The sequence below is a fragment of the Homo sapiens genome, chromosome 1 (assembly GCF_000001405.40).
Source record: "Homo sapiens chromosome 1, GRCh38.p14 Primary Assembly".
Classification (NCBI taxonomy): domain Eukaryota; kingdom Metazoa; phylum Chordata; class Mammalia; order Primates; family Hominidae; genus Homo; species Homo sapiens.
In genome coordinates, this window is record NC_000001.11 from 173,496,920 (window position 1) to 173,521,738 (window position 24,819).

Genomic DNA, 24,819 nt, shown 5'->3' on the forward strand with positions numbered 1-24,819 from the left:
CAAGAATGTCTCAGATGGTCTGTGTAAGTTGTGAAAAGATTTGTGAAAGGGAATTTATGCAAGAAATGTCGTACAATTCAAAGGTTGTTAGGCCTCCTAAATGCTTCATAAAATGCCACTATGACTCCTACTGTACAACTTGCCTGCGTTACTGCTAGGTAAGGCATGGGAACATGTGGAGTTAGCCACACCCCTAGCTATGCTGGAGAGTCAGCCCTTATCTGCACTTCTGCCTGGTGTGTCCTGGGCTAGGCTCCACACCTAGTACACAATTCAAATTGCTTACTAACCAGGGCTTCCACCAAAAGTAAAAGTCACTAAAAGTTAATGTTGTAACATGTAATTGAGACTATTGAAGAAACACTTTTACATGTAAGGTGTGTAAGGAAAGTAAAATATATTTTTGGTAAAAGATTATAAAAAGGCATGAGAATGTAGTTTTTTTTTGCCTAAAGGGTTAAAGAATTGTTTTAAGTTGGATAGAATAAAGCTAAAGGTTTAAACAAATGTGGAAGGTTTGTAAAAATATATATATATATAAAAGAGAGTCTGTATGTGGACATTGGCTAAATTAAGGGATATTATTCAGTTTTTCTATAAATTAAACATTGGAATAAAAGCACAACAGGTTTTTCTTAGAGCAAAACCATGCTTCTGCTCTTTAACAAAAACTTGTAAAGGGTTATAAAAGGCTTATGAGAATCTTACTTTATGGTCAAACTGACTAAGATTGGATGGATTTATTTATAAGGTTTTATTAAGAATTGGGTTTGACATAAATAATGCACTAATGCAACAGTGACATTTGGCTTATTTGGTAAGAAAGTCATACAGGAAGTATTCTGAAATATAAAATGGTGTTTGGTTTTCTTTGGGCTGTATTTTCATAAATGTGTTATTGGTATATATTCCAAAATTATGGGAAACTCCTATAATTCTGATATGACTTAGTGTACATTATCAGTAACAATTATAATTGTTGCATAAAATCATTGTATGCCACAGAGGTAACAAATTTCCTTGTCAATTGTTTCTTTGATTGTGGCTGCCCTAAAACATTTTGTCAGCCACAGACAATTATTACTTTGTTTTAATCCTCTTTAGAAGGTGGTTTATAATCAATTATAGAACTCTAACAGGTGTTCTTAAATGCAGGTTTTTCTGATAACTTTGGAGATTATAACATCAGAATAGAGAAAACAACTTTTAGAACTCTCATGAAGAGCTGGAATGTTCATGAATATAAAATAGAACAGGTGTTAACTAAATTAACTGAACCAATAGAAAACTGAACTAATCTTTTTAACTTTGCTTAAAATGCTGCTGATCCTTTGTTTTGTTTTTCAGAGTCAAGGAAACTTTTCTTTTGAGTTTTTCTATTTACAGCTGTTAGCAATTGAGTAAAATATACTACTGTGAACAAAATTTGGAACATATTTGTTTCTCTCTACCTGATTTCTCCAGAATTTGGAAACTAGTTGCAAGTATTCCTAACTTATGGCAATATAGTAATTTGCATAAGTACAATAAGAATCTGTTTTCTTTTGTAAAAGGGCACAATTGCAGAAATTTATAATTTTACCAAGGCTTTCATTGGAATGGTGTGTTTTCCTTTAAGGAATTAAAATGAACTTGTAGAGCCAATAAAAGCCCTTTGGGGAACTGGCCTCATACCTTGCCTACACAGTCCCTGTACAGGGTTTCTGACTTGTGGTAACTAAAGAATGTCACTTTCTATCAAGTCCAGTAGAAGTAGAAGTAAGTTATCTCGGGACTGCAAGAGGAAAGAAACTTACCCAACTCATAGGTATTAGAGGGTACAAACCCATGGCTGGACTCAGTTTTTAAAAAGTCTTATCTGAGATTCCTTATAAAACAGAGTTCTATCAAAGCCAATTAAAAAAACCTATGTGAAAAATAATTATTCTTGCTGCACTTTATACAAATAATCAGGCCATGTATAATAAAGTAAATCAGTCTCATCATGATTTGTCTTTAGTAAAAATGGAATACTGGAGAGAGAAATATTATGTTTCAAGAACTATGGTACACTTAAATTCTAGTCTCATTAGTTGTCTCTGTTTCTGCAATTTAGGCTAACCCTGCTTATTCCTATGAACCAACCAGTAATCTCTGACTGTTGCTCAGAAAAAAACAAGAGGACGGGTAATGTGAAAATCTGGATCAGTATTCTAATTCTGGGCACATTACAACCAACTGACCCCATACCAGCTTAGCTCCAACGGTTGCCCAATTCATGAAAAGCCTTCTAATTTAGTTTATTTAGAATATAACTTTACTTACTTTGTTTTACTCTTGTGGAATATATTGCTGTTATACTCTTTGTGTAGGAAAACAGAACAAGCATACTAAATGTTTCCTTTTTTTTTTTTTCTTTTGAGATGGAGTCTCCTTCTGTCACCCAAGCTGGAGTGCAGTGGCGTGATCTTGGCCCACTGCAACCTCTGCCTCCCGGGTTCAAGTGATTCTCCTGCCTCAGCCTCCTGAGTAGCTGGAACTACAGGCACACACCACCACGCCTGGCTAGTTTTTGTATTATTAGTAGAGATGGGGTTTCACCATATTGACCAGGCTGGTCTCAAACTCCTGACCTCATGATCCACCCACCTTGGCCTCCCAAAATGTTGGTATTACAGTTGTGAGCCGCCACGCCTGGCCCTAAATGTTTTCTTAAATTAAACACTTATAAATCTTCCAGATATCACCTTTTGTCAAAATTCAATAATTATGAATGGACCTTACTATACTGATGCTTTCTTACTAAGCTCCTCTCTACCCTGAATGCAAGAGACCCTCATAGTTAGGCAAGAATATCATCACCCCATTCAACCTGAAAAAGCTACAGAAGATGGATCGTCATCCCTCTGCAACCCTCAGGATTAAGGATTCTTTCATAAAAGGGAGAGGGAAATGTCAGAGACATGTGAACCAGAGCATCTCCATCTTAAATAAGAGCTGGGTAAAATGAGGCTGAAAGTTACTGGGCTGCATTCCCAGACGGATAAAGCAATCTAAGTCATGAAGTCAGCACAAAATACAGGTCATAATGACCTTGCTGATAAAACAGGTTGCAGTAAAGGAGCCAGCCAAAACCAAAATGGTGACAAGACTGACCTCTGGTCGTCCTCACTGCTACACTCCCATCAGCACCATGACAGTTTACAAATGCCATGGCAACGTCAGGAGGTTACCCTATATGGTCTAAAAAGGAGAGGCATTAATAATCCACCCCTTGTTTAGTATATCATCAAGAAATAACCATAAAAATAGGCAACCAGCAGCCCTTGGGGCTGCTCTGTCTATGGAGTAGCCATTCTTTTATTCCTTTACTTTCTTAATAAACTTACTTTCACTTTGCACTGGGACTCACCTTGAATTCTTTCTTGGACGAGATCCAAGAACCCTCTTTTGGGGTCTGGATCTGACCCCTTTCCTATAACACTATTATGGTTTTCTTCTAAAGTATTATGTATTCCTTTCAGTCTTGTTGAGATGAAAAGGAATAATGGGTTCTAATAATAAATAGACAACCATAAAACTCAACTTTATTTGATTTTTAAAAATAAAATGAAAGGTGACATCAAACAGTACTATGCAATATGAGAATATTAATTTCTCCTAAATTTCACTGAAAGCAAAAGTTACTTACTTACTGAAAGTTACTAAGATTGTGGAATATAATTCTGTTTTTCAATATTTACCAAACTGGGAAGGGGAGAATAGCTATACTCGGGAAAATATTAGGGAGGCACTAATTATAACAATTTCACAAATGAAAATTACAGGTTCTATGCTTTAGAGAGTAACATATCAGTTATACAACACTTTTTATAATGCACTATGTTAAAATTTGCTCTTAGCTGGAAACAGGGTTTCATTTGGTAGGACATATGTTTCAGTGTATTTTATATTATCCTGAAGACTTTTTTAACATCCCAAATATAATGCAACTACTTAAAATTAAGAAGTTTTACAGAAGTCCATCCATTGCTTATAAACTAAATGCAGCAGTAACCTGTTTCAGTAGCTTCTAAGTAAACTCCTTGCAGATAATCCTTTAGTATTTGAGCGAGGAAAGTAGTTTGGTCTTTAACCTGACTCCACACATCATATTTGTATCATTAATACCCTTTTCTAAAATGGTATCCAGTTTTCAACTATAAAAGAAAGTCAAAAGTTAAATATTAGCCTATAAACATTTCAGGAAAAACTTCTTACCTATTAAATGGAACCAGAAAACTTATGTAGGCATTTCTATTTTATTATCTGAAACATTCCTCCTAAAAGATCTTCATATGAAGAGTTTTGAGTGATGCATATAATTAATTACATGTGCATCTCTACGCTGTCATCTTGTGAAGAGATACTACATTAATTCCATGAGAGTAGTCTATCAAAGGTGGGTTTAAGAAGAAGAGAAATGTTACAGAAGTTGAATTCCAATTAACTTTATGACTGATTGCAGGGCTATTGGAAACTTTTTTTGTAAATCGGAATGGGAATCTTTTTAAGTAATGGGGGCTGAGACAAGATAGTAACAAATGAGGAACTCAATTATTTGACTCTTTTTTTTTTTTTTTTTTTTTTTGAGACAGAGTCTCACTCTGTTGCCCAGGCTGGAGTGCAGTGGCATGGTCTCGGCTCACTGCAACCTCCGCCTCCCAGGTTCATGCCATTCTCCTGCCTCAGCCTCCTGAGTAGCTGGAACTACAGGCGCCCACCACCACGCCCAGCTAATTTTTGGTGGTGTGAGCCACCACGCCAGACCAATTATTTGACTCTTAATTCCTCTTTGTGAAATAAGGTCCCTTTAAGAGAGAGGAGAGGAAGGCCCTAGGAGGGCTGCCTAAAAAGAACCAAGTTACCTGGTTTAAAGGAACTATTGACCATAAATTTGGTCAATGCAACTTTCCTTTCCCCAACAAATATTCTGCAGACTACCTTGATTATCATAAATAACAGTGGCAGGACCAACATTGCTATTAGAAGAGTCTTAGGGTGGCTGTCTAGTTGGGGATAATGTGGGCCAAGGGACTTCTCTTGCTGTTTATGGCTGGGCGCGGTGGCTCACGCCTGTAATCCCAGCACTTTGGGAGGCCAAGGCAGGCAGATCATAAGGTCAGGAGATCGAGACCATCCTGGCTAACATGGTGAAACCCTGTCACTACTAAAAATACAAAAAAGTAGCCAGGCATGGTGGCATGTGCCTGTAGTCCCAGCTACTCCAGAGGCTGTGGCAGGAGAATCGCTTGAATCCAGGAAGCAAAGGTTGCAGTGAGTCAAGGTTGTGCCAATGTACTCCAGCCCATGTGACAGAGTGAGATTCCATCTCAAAAAAAAAAAAAAAAAAAAAAAAAGCTGTTTATTTGGGATGACTTGGCACCTGGCTGGGAAAAGGCTAAAGGTCCTTGAAGCCTGTGCTTAGCACCATCACTGCTACCTGGCCCACTTCTGCATTTGTCTAGCACCCTATTAACCTGTCAGAGCCATCTGCTCCTCCAGTCCACCCAGCAGTCTGCTCTGGCCCAAACAGGAGCCCTAATAGAGACCTCTACAGTCATGAGCCCTGCAGGCTGCCCCACCACCACCAAAATTGTCTCTATTCTGTCCTGGTCCAATAAGACAGGCCCATATTCCTTTTCAACTCTAGGCGTGACTTCCAGCCTTCTCAAACTTCTCTAAATTTGTCCTGGTTACTGAGGAAAGAAGGAAAAGATGTAGGGGCAAACATCTACATGACTCTCCACAACAAAATGTCTTGAAGTCTCTTGTTTTATCTTAAAAATTCATGCAAATTTGTCATCCTACTCGATAATATGTTTTTTAATATAAAATGTTTCAAATAACCTACCAGTTAAATGAGTTAACCTTTTTCTTTAAAGGATCCTCAAGTAAAACTGGTACTCTAGGAAGATGCGTGTGATCAGCCTGTGACTCCACAAACTGCAAGCATAGCAATCTGTACATCCAGGAATCCACACTCCAGAGGCAGAGCATGGATATTTAGACCCTAGTGTCTACACGTGTGCATGATGTATGTCCCTCCTCACCCCAAATTCCATAGATCCCTACTCTTTGACCTAAATATCAGTGAGGGGGGTAAAAATGGGGTGGGGCAAAATTACATCTTTCAAAAATACTCTGTAATTTTAATTTTTAAGTAATTTAAATGGGGTTTATTCTAATTTGTCCAAATTAATGAGTTGTAGCTAGGAGTGTCTTTTCTCACCACCTACAATTTGCTATTTTGCCTCAATTTATTTTAGCTGTATAGTTCAATATTTGCAATAAGAAAAAATTCTAATCAAAGTGTCAAGTTTATTACCTCATCTTTTGTCTTCCATTTATATTCTTTCCTGGTTGTTCAAAGACCGTGTTGACTGAGGCTAACCAAATCCAAGCATTGAACAGAAAAAGTAAATTAGGAATTTAAGAGTAAAGGCAACCAGAAAATATTTTGAAATATCTATTTGCTTTCTCCCTATAAGTTTCCCTTTTCCCTTCCCCCTCTCAAATGTCCCTGTTTTTCTTCCCTCAGAGGTTCGTAGTAGGCTCCCTAAAGTCCAATACAAGGGCTGACAAACTCATATGAGAATAGGCAGATCACGTAAACAGTTGAAGTGGGCGGGGTAAAGGCGAGAGTGAGCAGTGTGGACTGTGGCAAGCTGCAGAGCATCTGCTCCCTCTATAGAAGCCAAATGATACTCAGCCCTATCTATTGCCACATACAGGAATGAGGGCTGAGTGCTGGCAGACCTTATTTTTTCATGAAAACTTCAAAATCTGCATTTTTAAAATGCAAAACATTTGTTTCTACTTGGCAACTAATTTTAAAATTTTAAAAGAAAACAAGTGACTCTTAAACAAATTAAGAGTCAAAGATCCAGTCCACGTGCCTACCATTTGTGACTTTTGTCTGAAACCCATGAGGAATACAAAGTGATGTGTTTCCCTCTATCTAAAAATGATTACAGAGAAACTCATCAAGAAAAGGGGCCTGTGGGCACAAGAACACTAGGGACCTGTGCCCTGCTCCCTGACAGTGCTTAAGATCTCTGACTCAATAGCCCTTCTTAGGGTGCCCCAAGGGGGCTGACGCTAGACCCTGAGTTCCCAGCCTTGCCATAGACTCCTGTGCCCCAAGAGTGATTTGAAAGCAGCAGAGCGGCAGACCTTCAGAGACTGTGAGCTGGGGAAATGGTCATCTCAGTGCTAGCCAACTTGGAAAGGTGACCCAGGAGCAGAGGGGGCTCCCTAAATCACAGTGCTGCATATGACCCTAGAAGAGGGTGAGCCACAGGAACCTCTGAGGTTCAAATTGCTGCCAAGGGAAAAGCTTAATTACTTATTGAATATCTGTCTCTCCTCCCTATGAAGGCAAACACCTTATCTGGCTCACTCACCAATTGGCACTTGGCACAGTACCCAGCACACAGCGGGGCTGCATTTTATAAAAAGCAAGCAATTGAGAAACAGTGAGATATAAGACTGAGAAAACGTCACTCTTCGCACACAATTTGAAATCGTGCAAATCCTCCCCCCAAAGCAACAATCCATTAAGAATTGCATAATAGCTAAACTGATGGATCACATGAATTGTAAACACTGGGATGGTGCAAGTTAGAGTTACAAAGCTAGAGTGTGTCCTCAAGCTGGGGCAGCTGGGAGAATTTTGTCATTGGGCTTGGGAGGGCAGGGATGCTGAGCACAAGATGGAAGATCTTGTGTGTGTTTTTTCTAGAGCAAGCTCTTCCTATCAAGTCTTCTCTGTATAATGCTTAGCACCATGATGCATGCAGTTGGATGCTAATAAATGTAACTATAGCTACTCAGTGACTATCAAGGCATACTCAAGGCAAGTCATTTGACTTGTAGCTGTGACCATGGAATACTCACTGACTATGGGTAAGGTTTCCTATTCCCTTCAGTTGCTGGGAGCAAACCAGTTCCCCATACCTGGGCTCCTGTGAAAGAGTCTGTTCCCTCCCCATTCTTGCACTGCCAGCACCATGTGGCTGCAGCCTACCAGGGCAGCAACAGAGTGCATTGCAGAAGCTGCTCTCCCCTGACTAGTGTATGGAGGGAGGGACATGGCAGAGGAAGGAGCCACCTGGATTTTAGGGTCTGGAAGTCTCTCATATGTGACCTCCCAGGGCAATGTGGCAGCCAGGGTGGGCCCAAGGATGGGGACTAATGATAAACCCACATAGTGCCCTCTCAAATCACTTTCTTAGAGTTAAAGGAATTTTACATGTATTGAAGTTCCTTCTCAATAGTTTTCCTACCACTAAAGGTCTACCCCTTACCCATGACATTGGTGTTACTATTTCTTTGGGTAAGCTCAGATGCTTGGATTATCAGCAGCTTGCTTAAATCAGAAGTTCCCTGAACCTAGAGGAGAAAAGTCAAAATTAGTCAAAAGAGCATTCTTTGATCTCTAACCTGGCTGCTTCCTAATCTTTCCAAAGAGTATAAAAAATAAGCCAAAGCCTAAAGCTGGGTCTTCAATCTTGGCTCTATATTCTAAATTTCAAATCCTCTTTGATGTTGAGAAGTCTTAGACCAACAAATTGTCCTTGCATATTTAGACACCAGAGAGGAAATTTCTACACCTTACTCATAACTAGGCTGGAAATTCCCAGTTTGGAAAGCAGGGAATCCCCAGCATCCAGTAAGCTACTTTTACTCCTACACTGATGCTCAAGGGCTCAAGGCTCAGCATTCCCAGGATGGCAAGACTGTCTTCCTTTCTTAGACCATTTGTCCCATGTGCCATAAAATCTGCCTCCCAGAATGCCAGCATCAAACAAGTAATCATTATAACTATCATTTTTAGATTACCACATATTATCTCATTTAATCCTCCCAATAACCCGATAAGATGGCTGCTGACCTTATCCCTATCTTACCATGAAGGAAATTGAGGGTCAGAAAGGTTAAGCAACTTACCTAAGCTCAAGTACAAGTAGGCACAGGGATCAAGTTTTAAGCCTAAGTGTGCCTGACTCCAAACCCTGGTCTCTTAAGAAACTAAGCTGCAGTATTACTCCTGTTGCTTCCTTGCTTCTTGCCTCCATCCTTTGTTTCAAAGCTAAACAAGATTTTAATTTTCTATTAAAAACATGTAAATTACCTTCATCATCTGAATTGATGAAAGGTACAAAATAAGAATGTTTTGAAAGAAGAAAATTCATTTTTTAGGTTTACCAACTTTTCCAGGACAAATTTTCATAATGACTTTTCACAGCCTGAACTGGGAGAAAAGGTCTCTCCCATAAGGTAGAAACTTACTGCCAGATTTAAAGAGATGTCAGTCAGCTCTTCCCATGGCCTCTGGGTCCTCCCCATTCCTTTGCCCAGTGGCAGGCAGCTTGGGCCATTAGGGACTTTGCTTCTATCCTTCCCATGCCCTCTTATGTCCTAGGTGGTCACACTTCCTTTGTCTTTACAGAGGTATGGAATGCTGAGGCCCAGGGCCCAGGATCTACTATCAAGTGCCCATAGCCCCTAATGTGTCAACAAAGTGATGTGGCCCCTACTCTACTCCTTTTTTGTCAACCAGTGCAGATACTTCCAGAGCTATGCTAGAACACGGCATCGTTGCCTTGGCGTAAACTAGGGAAAACTTACAGCATCTCATCCTTCCTTTGGCACAGCCCCACGCCAGGGCAAAGGGCGTGGCAAGCAAACAGCAGGCAGATTTCAGCTCCCTGTCCCTTGGGCACACCCTTGTGTAGGGCACCTGTATTACAGTACACAGAAGCCCTAGGTACATTTTTACTGTTTGTAAAAGGCAAGTAAGAACTACAGGGTCATTCCAGGTTAAATTTCTTTTTAAGGTGATCAGTTGAGTTTTAAAGTCACTTTTGGAGCACCGTGAAGAGCAAGAGACTCTTTAGAAATGATATTTCTTACCTGCTCACAGGTTGTAGGTATAATGCAAGGTGCAAAATATGGTTCCTCTGTCTTAGTATCAATTACACTGCCATACACAATGATAACAAATTTCATGGTCATATTATCAATAATCATGTCACTATAGCTTGATAAAGTTTCCACATATGCTTGATTGAACATCACACAGTTCTGAAACCTTAAGTCCTATAATAAAATTGCATTTTAGAAAATAAGTCATACAAACTGACAGATGGTATCAAGAAGAAAACAGATTTACTGATCTATCTGAATTATTTGAGGGTGTCAGAAGGTACACAGCCCCTGGCACCAACAGACAGGATTTATTTAGCATTCAGAATGGCCTCTGACAAATTTCTAAATTCCAAATGTTTATGCTGTTAATGGGCCCTGGATACTGTTGCCCAGCCCTAAATTGTGAGCTCTCAGCCACAGCAGGGTAGTTGGCTATGACTCAGGAGATTTCTATTTGCACAAGACTCAGAGTCTTAAAAGATTCAGAGTTTCACTTACAAGTAAGCTTATGTTCCACTTGACAGGTGAATAGGAATAACACAAAGCCAAAACAAAGCAAGCTAGAGTCTGAGCTATACTTCAAGGCTCAGAGTCATAGACTTTAGAACTGGGAGGGAGTTATTATGGGTTGAATTGTGCACACACACACACACACACACACCACCTCCCACCCAATTCTTATGCTGAAGTCCTAACTCCCAGTATCCTGGAATGTGACCTTATTGAAATGGGTCATTGCAGATGCAATTAGTTAAGATGAAGTCATACTGGAATAGGTTGGGCCTCTAATTTGAACAACTAGTGTCCTTATAAAAAGGGGAAACTTGGACGCAGACTTGCACACAGGGAGAACGCCACGTGAATATAAAGGCAGCCATTTATAAGCCAAGGAGGGAGGCCTGGCCCAGATTCTCCCTCACAGCCCCTCAGTAGGAGCCAATCCTCCCAACACCTTGATTTCTAATTTCTAGCCTCCAGAACTGTGAAACGATGCATTTCTGGTTTTTTTACGCCACCCAGTTTGTGGTACTTTGTTACAGCCGTGCTTGCAAACTAACCCAGGAATTTAGAGATCAGCCCAACAGTAGGCATCTCCTGCACAGGGCCCTGACAGGGCTGTCAGCTCAGTCTAAACATCTCCACCCCCATTCAGGGCACAGCTACATGAGCCAGTCCCTGAATCTCAGTCACTGACAGGTGAATCATACATTTATTTGCTGAGGGCACCAGCACAACTGGGAACCAAAAACATTTAAAAATTAGCAAATGTATCTAGTATTTCACAACCAGAAAATCTAAAAAAAAATCAGCTGTTTTGGTTTGATTTTAAAATGCATATACATTTTGAGTTCTGTGATTTAGAGGGAAAAAAATCTTAATTGGCTAGTTCTTTAATGGAAAAAAAAAGAAAGAAACTAAGTATTAAATAGAGATTCTCTATTTAATAATAAATACAATTTTTTTAATGTTTTATATCTGTACTTTCTCATTTATATAATGAATATGTGTTGCTTGTGAATTTAAAAAAATTTAAAGGACATTCATCTTATTATTGAGTCAAGTCTGAGTCCATACAGTTTCTACCCATTGGTCCTAATTCTCACCCCTGAAGTTTCATACTAGACTCTAAATTTGTCCCACTTCTCATGAAGATGCAAGGTAAAAGGAAAAGAGAAGAATTCCAATCCCCTTATCCCTCTGCTAAAATTTTTCTGAAAGTTATTATTGCAATAAAGTAAAAGAAACCTGACTGGCTTGTATGACACACTCATTTTTTAACCCAATATTTATTTATACCCAGTCGCTCAGTTCAGTGAATATTACTGAACTTCCAATCTTTCCCAGTTCACTTCCCCAGTTCCTGACTCACTAGCTAGTAAGGGTTCCAATAGTTACTAAATAGGATACAAATGTGAGATTGTAAATTGTGCTTGTCCAGAGAAAACTTGAACCACTACTCTTTGGAGGGGAAGTCCATGAGAGAGGCTCAGTCACCTCCACAAAGATTTTGAAAAGGCAGGAGATTTACAGACTTATATTAACATCGGCAGAGTAGGCAATAATAAATACAGACAGAGCGTTTGTTAACACATTCTGATTAACACTATGCTTGGTTCAGGGGGGGATCTACCTATTTTGAATTTGCTAAATCTACCTTCTTTTTTTTTTTAGAAATGATTGCAAGTAGCTTGGGAAAATTAGCTGTGACAAAAGGATTGACAACCTGTAGGAACTCAGGATAAGAGAGCAGTTAAAATTCTAGCAATCTCATTTTAGAAAAGCAGACACAGGGCCAGGCACAGTGGCTCACGCCTATAATCCCAGCACTTTGGGAGGCCGAGGTGAGTAGATCACTTGAGGTCAGGAGTTCAACACCAGCCTGGCCAACATGGTGAAATCCTGTCTCTACTAATAATAAAAAAAATTAGCCAGAGGTGGGGGCAGGCGCCTATAATCCCAGTTACTTGGGAGGCTGAGGCAGGAGAATTGCTTCAACCTGGGAGACAGAGGTTGTAGTGAGCTGAGACTGCACCATTGCACTCCAGCCTGGGCAACAGAGTGAGCCTCTGTCTCAAAAAAAAAAAAAATCAAACACAAATTTCCTTTCTATTTTTGTCTCAAAAATATGAAATGCATTTTGTAAAAAATACAATGCATAAAAATTCAATTTATTAATATTTTAATCACATAACTTACCTCATCAATAAGACTTGATTCAAAATACTGATAGGCAGTACTGAGAGCAAGCTTTAGCCATATTTTATATTCCAGAGATGGCCAGAAGGCATCAAAGCCTTCATATAAATCCTCCAGGGAGATAAAGCAGGCCTGAAACAAAAAGGAACCAGGCCATAGCAGCTTGATGTGGAACTAAATTACAAGACCATCAAAAAACAAGATGCCTGCAGATTTAACCTTCAGAAAAACTATCAATTCTAGCATAATTATGATACTCTTGTCATTTAGAAGCATTTGTATTGTGAAAATGGTTGTTTGCTAAGTATAAGATGATAAAATGTATGGTGTGATTAAAGCTATAGACTTTAATAAGAGACCAGAAAAATGTATATCAGTCAATAGATATAATGAAGGATATGGCTCATGAGCCCAAAGTCCAGGATTCAGGAACTAAGCCATATGAACTTATCTATTTTTATTGTCATGGTAGATAACATGAGCTCATTCACAGTATTTGTTTCCAGAGGCAAATAGTTTAGCTGAATAAAAAAGATACACTTTCAGATTCAAGTTACACGAACTTCAGTGAATTCAATTCAGCCTTATGACTAAACTCATGCCTTCTCTCCTCTTCCAAAAATGAAATGACATGAAATAGCTAAAACAACATTTCCTTCCACTCCACACACCCCTAAGACTCTGGATCCTGCTCTTTTGCATCATATAGTCTCCAAAGATTGAGAATTCTTTGGCTCATTTCTTTTTTTGTTTAATTATTTCATTGTACTTTAAGTTCCAGGATACAAGTACAGAATGCGTAGGTTTGTTACTTAGGTCTACGTGTGCCATGGTGGTTTGCTGTACCTATCAACATGTCATCTAAGTTTTAAGCCCCCCATGCATTAGCTATTTATTCTAATGCTCTCATTCCTCTCACCCCCTCAATCCCCAAACGGCCCTGGTGTGTGATGTTCCCCTCCCTGTGTCCATGTGTTCTCATTGTTCAACTCCCACTTATGAGTGAGAACATGCAGTGTTTGGTTTTCTGTTCCTGTGTAAGTTTGCTGAGGATGGCGGCTTCCAATTTCATCTATGTCCCTGCAAAGGACATGTTCTCATTCCTTTTTATGGCTGCACAGTATTCCATGGTGTGTATGTACCACATTTTCTTTATCCAGTCTATCATTGATGGGCATTTAAGTTGGTTCCATGTCTTTGCTCTTGTGAATAGTGTGGCAATAAACATACATGTGCATGTGTCTTTATAGTAGAATGATTTATATTCCTTTGGGTATTTACCCAGTAATGGGATTGCTGGGTCAAATGGTATTTCTGGTTCTAGGTCCTTGAGGAATCATCACACTGTCTTCCACAATGGTTGAACTAATTTACATTCCCACCAACAGTGTGAAAGTGTTCTTAGTTCTCCACAGCCTCACAAGCATCTATTGTTTCCTGGATTTTTTTTCCTTTCTTTTCCTTTTTTTTTTTTTTTTTTTTTTTTGAGACAGAGTCTCACTCTCTCACTAAGCTGGAGTGCAGTGGTGCATCTCGGCTCACTGCAACCTCCACCTCCTGGGTTCAAGCAATTCTCCTGCCTCAGCCACCCGAGTAGCTGGGACTATAAGTGCGCCACCATGCCCAGCTAGTTTTTGTATTTTTAGTAGGGATGGGGTTTCCCCATGTTGGCCAGGATGGTCTTAATCTCTTGACCTCATGATCCCCCTGCCTCAGCCTCCCAAAGTGCTGGGATTACAGGCATGAGCCACCGTGCCTGGCCCATTTCCTGACTTTTTAATAATTGCCATTCTGACTGGTGTGAGATGGTATTTCATTGCGGTTTTGATTTGCATTTTTCTAATCAGTGATGTTGAGCTTTTTTTCATATGTTTGTTGGCTACGTAAATTGTCTTCTTTTGAAAGGTGTCTGTTCATATCCTTTGCCCACTTTTTGATGGGGTTTTTCTTGTAAATTTGTTTAAGTTCCTTGTAGATTCCGGATATTAGACCTTTGTCAGATGGGTAGATTGCAATAACTTTCTCCCATTCTGTAGGCTGCCTGTTCACTCTAATGATAGTTTCTTTTGCTGTGCAGAAGCTCTTTAATTAGATCTCATTTGTCAATTTAGGCTTTTGTTGCAATTGCCTTTGGCATTTTTGTCATGAAGTCTTTGCCCATGCCTATGTCCTGGGTGGTATTGCCTAGGTTTTCTTCTAGGGTTTTTATGATTTTGGGTTTTACATGTAAGTCTTTAATCCATCTTGAGTTAATTTACGTATAAGGTGTAAGGAAGGGGTCCAGTTTTGGTTTTCTGCATATGGCTCACCAGTTTTCCCAACACCATTTACTGAATAGGAGATCCTTTCCCCATTGCTTGTTTTTATCAGGTTTGTCGAAGATGAGGTAGTTGTATATGTGTAGGGTTATTTCTGAGGCCTCTGTTCTGTTCCATTGGTCCATATGTCTGTTTTGGTACCAGTACCATGCTATTTTGGTTACTGTAGCCTTGTGGTATAGTTTGAAGTCAGCTAGCGTGATGCCTCCAGCTTTGTTCTTTTTGCTTACGATTGTCTTGTCTATGTGGGCTCTTTTTTGGTTCCATATGAAATTTAAAATAGTTTTTTCTAATTCTGTGAAGAATGTCAATGGTAGTTTGATGGAAATAGCATTGAATCTATAAATAACTTTGGGCAGTATGGTCATTTTCACACTATTGATTCTTCCTATCCATAAGCATGGAATGTTTTTCCATTTGTTTGTGTCCCCTCTTATTTCCTTGAGGAGTGGCTTGTAGTTCTCCTTGAAAAGGTCCTTCACATCCCTTGTTAGCTGTGTTCCTAGGTATTTTATTCTCTTTGTAGCAATTGTGTATTGGAGTTCATTCATGATTTGGCTCTCTGCTTGTCTGTTGTTGGTGCATAGCAATGCTTGTGATTTTTGCATGTTGATTTTGTATCCTGAGACTTTGCTGAACTTGCTTATCAGCTTAAGGAGTTTGTGGACTGAGACAATGGGGTTTTCTAAATATAGAATCATGTCAGCTGCAAACAGAGACAATTTGATTTCCTCTCTTCCCATTTGAATACCTTTATTTCTTTATCTTTCCTGATTGCCCTAGCCAGAACTTCTAATACTATGTTGAATAGAAGTGGTGAGAGAGGGTATCCTCGTCTTGTGCCAGGTTCCAAAGGAAATGCTTCCAGCTTTTGCCATTCAGTATGATATTGGCTGTGGGTTTGTCATAAATAGTTCTTATTATTTTGAGATATGTTCCATCAATACCTACTTTATTGAGAGTTTTTAACATGAAGGGATTTGAATTTTATTGAAGGCCTTTTCTGCATCTGTTGAGATAATCATGTGGTTTTGTCATTGGTTCTGTTTATCTGATGGATTATGTTTATTGATTTGCATATGTTGAACCAGTCTTACATGCCAGGGATGAAGCCGACTTGATTGTGGTGGATAAGCTTTTTTGATGTGCTGCTGGATTTGGTTTGCCAGCATTTTATTAAGGATTTTCACATTGATGTTCATCAGAGATATTGACCTGAAGTTTTCTTTTTGTTGTTGTTGTTGTTGTTGTGCCTCTGCCAGGTTTTGGTATCAGGATGATGCTGGCCTCATAAAATGAGTTAGGGAGGTGTCCCACCTTTTCAACTCTTTGGAGTAGTTTCAGAAGGAATGGTACCAGCTTCTCTTTGTATCTCTGGTGGAATTCGGCTGTGAATCTATCTGGTCCTGGGCTTTTTTTGGTTGGCAGGCTATTAATTACTGCTTCAATTTCAGAACTAATTTTTGGTCTATTCAGGGATTTTAATTCTTCCTAGTTTAGTCTTGGGAGAGTGTATGTGTCCAAGAATTTACCCTTTTCTTTTAGATTTTCTAGTTTATTTACATAGAGGTGTTTATTCTCTGATCGTAGTTTGTATTTCTGTGGGGTCAGTGGTGATATCCCCTTTATCATTTTTTATTGTATCCATTTGATTTCTCTCTCTTTTCTTCATTAGTCTAGCTAGCGGTCTATTTTGTTAATTTTTTCAAAAAAATCAGCTCCCGGATTCATTCATTTTTTGAAGGGTTTTTTGTGTCTCTGTCTCCTTCATTTCTGCTCTGATATTAGTTATTTCTTGTCTTCCGCTAGCTTTTGGATTTGTTTGCTCTTGCTTCTCTAGCTCTTTTAATTGTGATGTTAGGGTGTTGATTTGAGATCTTTCTAGCTTTCTGATGTGGGCATTTAGTGCTATAAATTTACCTCTTAACACTGCTTTAGCTGTGTCCCAGAGATTCTGGTATGTTGTCTCTTTGTTCTCATTGGTTTCAAAGAACTTCTTGATTTCTGCCTCAATTTCATTATTTACCCAGGAGTTATTCAGGAGCAGATTGTTCAATTTCCATGTAGTTCAATTTCCATGGTTTTGAGTGAGTTTCTCAACCCTGAGTTCTAATTTGATTGCACTGTGGTCTGAGAGACAGTTTGTTATGATTTCAGTTCTTTTGCATTTGCCAAGGAGTGTTTTACTTCCAATTCTGTGGTTGATTTTAGAATAAGTGCCATGTGGCACTGAGAAGAATGTATATTCTGTTGATTTAGGGTGGAGAGTTCTGTAGATGTCTATTAGTTCCACTTGATCCAGAGCTGAGTTCAGGTCCTGAATATGCTTGTTAATTTTCTGTCTTGTTGATCTAATATTGACAGTGGGGTGTTAAAGTCTCCCACTATTATTGTGTGGGAGTCCAAGTCTCTTTGTAAGTCTCTAAGAATTTGCTTTATGAATCTGGGTGCTCCTGTCTTGGGTGCATATATATTTAGGATAGCTAGCTCTTCTTGTTGAATTGATCCCTTTACCATTATGTAATGCCCTTATTTGTCTTTTTTGATCTTTATTAAAGTCCGTTTTGTCAGAGACTAGTATTTCAACCCCTGCTTTTTTTTTGTTTGTTTTCCATTTGCTTGGTAATTTTTCCTCCACCCCTTTATTTTGAGCCTATGTGAGATGAGCCCCCTAAATGTAGCACACCAGTGAGTCCTGACTCTTTATCCAATTTGCCAGTCTGTGTCTTTTAATTGGGGCATTTAGCCCATTTACATTTAAGGTTAATATTGTTATGTGTGAATTTGAGCCTGTCATCATGATGCTATCTGGTTATTTTGCGTACTATGCAAAATAGTTGATGCAGTTTCTTCATAGTGCCATTAGTCTTTATATATTTGGAGTGTTTTTGCAGTGGCTGGTACCAGTTGTTCCTTTCCATATTTAGTGCTTCCTTCAGGAGCTCTTGCAAGGCAGGCCTGGTGGTGACAAAATCCCTCAGCATTTGCTTGTCTGGAAAGAATTTTATTTCTCCTTTTTTTATGGAGCTTAGTTTAGCTGGATATGAAGGTCTGGACTGAAAATTCTTTTCTTTAAGAATGTTGAATATTGGCCCCCACTGTTTTCTGGCTTGAAGGGTTTCGGCGGAGAGGTCCACTGTTAGTCTGATGGGCTTCCTTTTGTAGGTGACCTGGCCTTTCTCTCTGGCTGCCCTTAACATTTTTTCCTTCATTTCAACCTTGGAGAATCTGATGATTATGTGTCTTGGGGTTGATCTTCTCATGGAGTATCTTAGTGGTGTTCTCTGTATTTCCTGAATTTGAATGTTGGTCTGCCTTGCTAGGTCAGGGAAGTTCTCCTGGATAACATCCTGATCCTGAAGTGTGTTTTCCAACTTGGTTTCATTCTCCCTGCCTCTTTAGGTACTCCAATCAATCATAGCTTTGTTCTTTTTACATAGTCCCATATTTCTCAGAGGTTTTGTTTGTTCCTTTTCATTCTTTTTTTCTCTAATCTTCTCTGCATGCCTTATTTCAGCAAGATGGTCTTCAGACTCTGATATCCTTTCTTCCACTTGATAGATTCAGCTATTGATCCTTGTGCATGCTTCATGAAGCGTTCATGCTGTGTTTTTCAGCTCCATCAGGTCATCTATGTTCCTTTCTAAACTAGTTATTCTAGTTAGCAGCTCCTGTAACCTTTTATGAAGATTCTTAGCTTCTTTAGATTCGGTTTGAACATGCTCCTTTAGCTCAGCAGAGTTTGTTATTACCCACCTTCCAAAGCCTACTTCTGTCAATTCATCCATCTTGTCCTCCATCCAGTTCTGTGCCTTTGCTGGACAGGCATTGCGATCATGTATAGGGGAAGAGGCACTCTAGCCTTTTGAGTTTTCAGTGTTTTTTCGTTTATTCTTTCTCATCTTCATGAGTTTGTCTAATATTGATCTTTGAGGCTGTTGACCCTTAGATGGGGTTTTTGTGGGGACTTTTTTGTTGTTGTTGATGCTGTTGTTGTTGCTTTCTGTTTTTCTTGCAATGATCAGGTCCTTCTTCTGCAGGGCTGCTGCAGTTTGCTGGGGATTTGCTTCAGGCCCTATTCATCTGGTTTGCTCCCACACCTGGAGATGTCACTCGAGGAGGCTGGAGAACAGCAAAGATAGGTGCCTGCTCCTTCCTCTGGGATCTCTGACCTTGAGGGGCACCGAACTGATGCCAGTAGGAACGCTCCTGTATAGGGTGTCTGATAACCCCTATTGGAGGGTATCACCCAGTTGGGTGGCACAGGGAGCAGGACCCATTTAACGAACCACTTTGTCCCTTGGTCTTTGGCTCATTTCTATTTGAATTCCCCACACCTAGTGAAATGTCAGGACACTTAGGTGTTGAATAGATAACTTCTTACTTAGCAAATGAAACATAGAAGGAAGTTTAAAAACAAACAAGTATTCCTTTTTTAAGTTTTAAGTTCAGTGGTACATATGCAGGTTTGTTACATAGGTAAACTTGTGTCATGAGGGTTTGTTGTACAGATTATTTCATCACCCATGTATTAAGCCTAGTACCCGTAGTTATTTTTCCTGATTCTCTCCCTCCTTCCACCCTCCACCCTCCAATAGGCCCCAGTGTGTTTTATTCCCCTCTCTGTGTCTGTGTGTTCTCATCATTTAGCTCCCACTTATATGTGAGAACATGTGATATTTGGCTTTCTGTTCCTGCATTAATTTACTAAAGATAATGGCCTCCAGCTCCATCCATAGTTCCTGCAAAAGACATGATCTCACTCTTTTTTAGGGCTACATAGTATTCTATGGTATATATGTACCATGTTTTCTTTATCCACTCTATCATTGATGAGCATTTAGGTTGATTCCACGTCTTTGCTGTTGTGAATAGTGCTGCAGTGAACATACATGTGCATGTGTCTTTATAATAGAATGATTTACATTCCTTTGGGTATATACCCAGTAATGGGATTGCTGGGTCAATGGTACTTCTGTCTTTAGGTCTTTGAGGAAACGTCACACTGTCTTCCACAATGGTTGAATTAATTTATACTCCCACTAACAGTGTGTAATTGTTCCTTTTTCTCCACAACCTCTCCAGCACCTGTTACTTTTTGACTTTTTAATAGCAGCCATTCTGACTGGTGTGAGATGGTATCTCATTGTGGTTTTGATTTGCATTTCTCTATTGATCAGTTATGTTGAGCTTTTTTTCATATGCTTATTGGCCACATGTATGTCTTCTTTTGAAAAGTATCTGTTCATATATTTTGCCCACTTTTTAATGGAGTTGTTTTAAAAACAAATAAATATTCTTTAAAAACACTGTTGTCATAATGGTGACCATTTATTGAGCACCTATATGTGTCAGGCATTTTACGTAGATGTTTTCCTAATCCTCATAACATCAAAAGGTTGGTATTCTCTCTACTTCATAAACAAGGACACTGAGACTTAAGGAGGTTAAATAACTACTCCCTTAGGCAGGATGCAGTGGAGCTTGGCAGAGCCTGGGATGTGAGACACTAAATCTGCCTTTTCAGCTATGTTACCTCCCAATAGCTGGTTGGGTGACTAAGATGTCAAAACCCCAAAAAAGAAAAGATGCTGGTATTTTTTATTTACTTGAAGAATAATTAATAACTCATGACAGAACCATTTTCCTACCTGTAAACTAGTTTCACAGATGACGGTATATTCAATTTCACGCTTAAGCAGACAGCTTAGCTCTCCAATTATGTCCCCAGTAGTACAGAACTCTGTAAACATGTCTCTGGACCCTCTATCACACCTTTGATTACTCTCTATTCCAAAGGTAGGAGATAAACTATGCAACTGCAAAGGGAAAAAAAGTGTGCAAAGGGAAAGAAAAAATGAAAAACCCTTTGATCAAATCATAGGAGCTCCCACTATTTCTTACAACTTTCCAATGGAAGGGAAAGATCTCCTGTCAGGTGTGAAAGAAGAATTAGGCTTAAGAAAAAAAAATCATGATTTCTTTAACATTTCAACTCCCCAAGGCAAGGATTTTTTTCTAATCTTTAGTTTTACAGATGACCCCTATTTACAACTTTCTACTTATACCTGTCTTATACAAAAATCCCACCAGGGCTGGGCGCAGTGGCTCACGCCTGTAATCCCAGCACTTTGGGAGGCCAAGGCGGGCGGATCACAAGATCAAGAGTTCGGGACCAGCCTGGCCAACATGGTGAAACCCCGTCTCTGCTAAAAAAAAATACAAAAATTAGTCGAGCATGGTGACGCATACTTGTAGTCCCAGCTACTCAGGAGACTGAGGCAGGAGGATCATTTGAACCCAGGAGGCAGAGGTTGCAGTGAGCCAAGATCGTGCCACTGCACTCCAGCTGGGCGACAAAGTGAGACTCCATCTCAAAGAAAAAAAAAAAAAACCCACCAAAACTGGAAATTATAGTATGCAACTAATGCAATCACTCATTGAGTCCATTAGATATTCTTACCGCAATGGGCTAATGCATCAGGTGGAAATAACTTTTGATTGCATGGGCACATAAATCAGATATTATGAATTAATATGCCTCCAAACCAAGCCATGATGTTAATGAAAGCCTTGTCTCTTTTTAAAATGCTTTAGAAAAATTACCATGCAATATCAACAGGAAAAGGTTTTAGGATGAACATAGGATGGTTGAGTTACTTCAAGAAAATAACTGGTAGGCATAGCTGGAGAAAGAACCGCGGTATCAGATTTTAGGGGGAAGCTGAAAGAATTGGGATTAGAAAGATTACAGAATTTTTCAGAAAGTTTAGCTGTAAACATCAAAGAGGAAGGTTCTTGTTCAAGACACAGGAAACAGGAAGCAAAAGGTCATTCTCTCCCAGCAATTAGCATTCAGACTTTTAAAGGCATTCATGCTTCCAGAAGAGTTTGAATTTGTTTTTAATGGCTGTAATTTTGAATGCAATTCAAAGGATCTTTGAGCAATGAAGAATGCCTCTGCTTTTTGCAAACAAAGAAAAGATGATGGCATTTGAGGTAGGCAGCATTCTAAAGGAGGCCCCCCCAAGATTCCTGTCTGTTGTTCAACCAAATACTAATCTAGGGACTGCAGTGAAGGGACTTTGTAGTGGAATTAAGGTTGCTAATTGGCTGACCTTAAAAAGATGATTTTTGGAGTTAAGGCTACTAATCAGCTGACCTTAAAAAGATCTACAAAGTCCCTTCACAGCTGTACCAGATTAGTATTTGATTAAACAACAGACGGGAATATTGCGGGGACTGTAATCACATGAGCCCTCGCAAGTAGAAGGGAGTCCATCAGAGAGAGATGTGTGAAGGATTCCATATGCCTTTGCTTGCTCTGAGATGTGAGGACCTGCATGCAAGGACAAAAGAGAAGCTCTAGGAGCTCAAGGTGGGCTCCAGCTGACAGCCTTGAAGAAGCAAGGACTTCTGTTCAATAGCCGTAAAGAATAACTAGATCTGCCAACAACCTCAAAGAGCCTGGAAACAGATTGTGCCCTTAGAGCTTCCAGAAGGTAACATAGCACTACTGACATCTAGATTTCAGCTTCTTGAGACCCAAGCAGTGAAATCAGCAGAACCCATTGGATTTCTGACCTACACAGCCATGAGATAATATATTTAAGCACTAAATTTGTGGTAATTTGTTATGGTATCAAAAAAGTACTAATATAACCTCTTCAGACCAGACATTATTGGACTATAGTTTAAGAAGGTTTAGCTAGTCCAGTCATGGCAGGAAAATCCCCAAAGAAACATGTTACAGCAAGTTGCAGCTTTTAAGTATCGGACTTGCCGTATTTCATAAATACTGGCAGCAGTGTGTTTGTCCTAGAATTCTAATGGGAGTATAGTATAATGGCTAAGCACATGGATACTGGAGACAGACTACATGGGTTCAAAGTAATCTTTGGCCTCTGAGTATGTGTAGTTGGGGCCAAGTGAATTTTTTTTTTCTGTTCATCAGTTTTCTCATGTAAAAAATAGGGTTGTTGGCCTGGTTCGGTGGCTCACACCTGTAATCCCAGCACTTTGGGAGGCCAAGGCGGGCGGATCACTTGAAGTCAGGAGTTCAACACCAGCCTAGGGAAATCCCGTCTCTACTAAAAACACAAAAATTAGATGGGCGTGGTGGTGCGTGCCTGTAATCCTGTAATCCCAGCTACTTGGGAGGTTGAGGCAGGAGAATCACTTGAACCCGACGGACAGACCTTGCAGTGAGCTGAGATGGTGTCACTGCACTCCAGACTGAGTGACAGAGACTGTCGCCCAGGCTGGAGTGCAGTGGCAGGATCTCGGATTCTCATGTCTCAGCCTCCTGAGTAGCTGGGATTATAGACATATGCCACCATGCCCGGCTAATTTGTGTATTTTTAGTAGAGACAGGGTTTTGCCATGTTGGCCAGGCTGGTCTCAAACTCCTGCCTCGTGATCCACCCACCTAGCCCTCAAAGTGGTGGGATTACAGCTGTGAGCCATCATGCCCAGCTTATATTGCCTTTCTCGACTACCTTTTAAAAAATCACAACTAATCTCTTCATACCTCCATCATCTGTAACATACTGTAAACTTACTTGTTTTGTTCATTGTCCCATCTCCTTTTATCCCTCTACTAGAAATTAGGCTCCAAGAAGGCAGGAATTTGTGTCTGTTTTGTCAATCCCATGCCTAGAATTAACAGTGCCTGCCACATGGTGGTAATGAAGCAAACATTTTGTTGAATAAATGAGTGAATGAATGAATGAAAAGTGCTTAGAATAGTGCCAGATAGTAAATAAGTGTTATATTGTGTTAGTATTCTATTTATTATGGTAGTTTATTTCCATGATATTTTAAGGTCTAATATACCCGTTTCAAAACCAGAAAGCCAATGGTATTATTTTTGCCATATTAAGGATTTGTCATTTTATGACCATCATCCAGGATCTAGGAATTATTTGGTTCACAAAATGGGGCTCACGCATGAAACCAGCTACTAAACTACTGTTATGCAGATACAAAGGATTCTTGTCCCCATCACTCTACTGAAATCTCTCTCCCTCTCTCTCTCTCTGTCTCTCTCTCTGGTCAACAAAAGCCTCCCATGAGACAGATTAAAAGCTGTATTTTTGATCCTCATTCTATTTCCTTTAGGTGAGTAATTTAAGCCACGCCAAGTATTGATTTCCTTCTCTGAACATTCTGAAAAATCCTGCTTCCTCCCAGGATTGCTGGAAATAAGTAAAGACTATGACAGCATTTTGTAGAATGGGAAGCACATTTCAGGTGTTGAATATTCACCTCTCAGCTGTCATGCTCAGAGTAGAAATGGTTTCATCACATTAAAAATTTAAACTTTTTCAGTATCTAAATTTATTCTTATTCTACAATTACATGTTTCAAAATACATTTTAAGTAAAAAAAAAAAAAAAAATCAATAGTCCCTTACAATTGCCATTCCTGAAATAATTAAGTAGATTCCTTGTGGCATTTCACCTCCTTTACAAATGGTATCTCCAGAGTCAAAACAGGCAAGTTTGGCTCTTTCCTGAGTGGGAAAAAAAAAAACGAAAAGAAAAAGAGAGTCAACACAAAAGCTTCCTAGTCTACTTTTCTAAATATTTTCTATATATATATATATATATATGATTTTATTATATATGTGTGTGTGTGTATATATATATATGATTTTAAAGCTAAAATAGTTTCCAAGTAGCATAAAAACACTAATTATATTCTTGGTTTATTACTGAACTGTAACGTGCTAATATACCACATCAACTTTTAGAAATAAAGGAACAGGCAAACAAACTTTGACTTTGTGATTAGTACCTAGCATAGTAACTGATATAACTATGGAATAAATATGCATATTTATGAATGAAAA

At 39.3% G+C, this 24,819-nt stretch overlaps 1 protein-coding gene across 15 annotated transcripts in view, besides 2 other annotated features; it reads right to left on the reverse strand.

The window, feature by feature from the left end:
• Positions 71 to 365: an enhancer, noted in NCBI's record as "tiled region #4744; K562 Activating DNase matched - State 5:Enh". NCBI's record gives its function as "activates a minimal TATA promoter and a strong SV40 promoter by Sharpr-MPRA in K562 cells {active_cell/tissue: K562}" and the evidence as "EXISTENCE:reporter gene assay evidence [ECO:0000049][PMID:27701403]".
• SLC9C2 (solute carrier family 9 member C2 (putative)) overlaps positions 3,541 to 24,819 on the reverse strand; it is a 102,613-nt gene continuing 81,334 nt past the window's right edge. For 14 of the 15 annotated variants that reach the window (XM_047418170.1, XM_017001074.2, XM_047418169.1 and 11 more), the window contains 8 exons: positions 24,382 to 24,480; positions 20,618 to 20,785; positions 12,649 to 12,780; positions 9,937 to 10,122; positions 8,328 to 8,412; positions 7,425 to 7,462; positions 6,347 to 6,407; positions 3,541 to 4,178 (listed from right to left, as the gene is read on the reverse strand). In XM_047418170.1, coding sequence (XP_047274126.1) covers positions 6,366 to 6,407; positions 7,425 to 7,462; positions 8,328 to 8,412; positions 9,937 to 10,122; positions 12,649 to 12,780; positions 20,618 to 20,785; positions 24,382 to 24,480 — 750 coding nt within the window. In that variant the 3' untranslated portion in view covers positions 3,541 to 4,178; positions 6,347 to 6,365. The remainder of the gene's footprint in view (positions 4,179 to 6,346; positions 6,408 to 7,424; positions 7,463 to 8,327; positions 8,413 to 9,936; positions 10,123 to 12,648; positions 12,781 to 20,617; positions 20,786 to 24,381; positions 24,481 to 24,819) is intronic. The other variant, NM_178527.4, reaches the window with a different exon arrangement.
• Positions 7,891 to 9,090: an enhancer, noted in NCBI's record as "BRD4-independent group 4 enhancer chr1:173473949-173475148 (GRCh37/hg19 assembly coordinates)". NCBI's record gives its function as "activates an origin of replication core promoter dependent on BRD2, P300/CBP, MED14 and CDK7 cofactors, and independent of BRD4, by STARR-seq in HCT116 cells {active_cell/tissue: HCT116}" and the evidence as "EXISTENCE:reporter gene assay evidence [ECO:0000049][PMID:35650434]".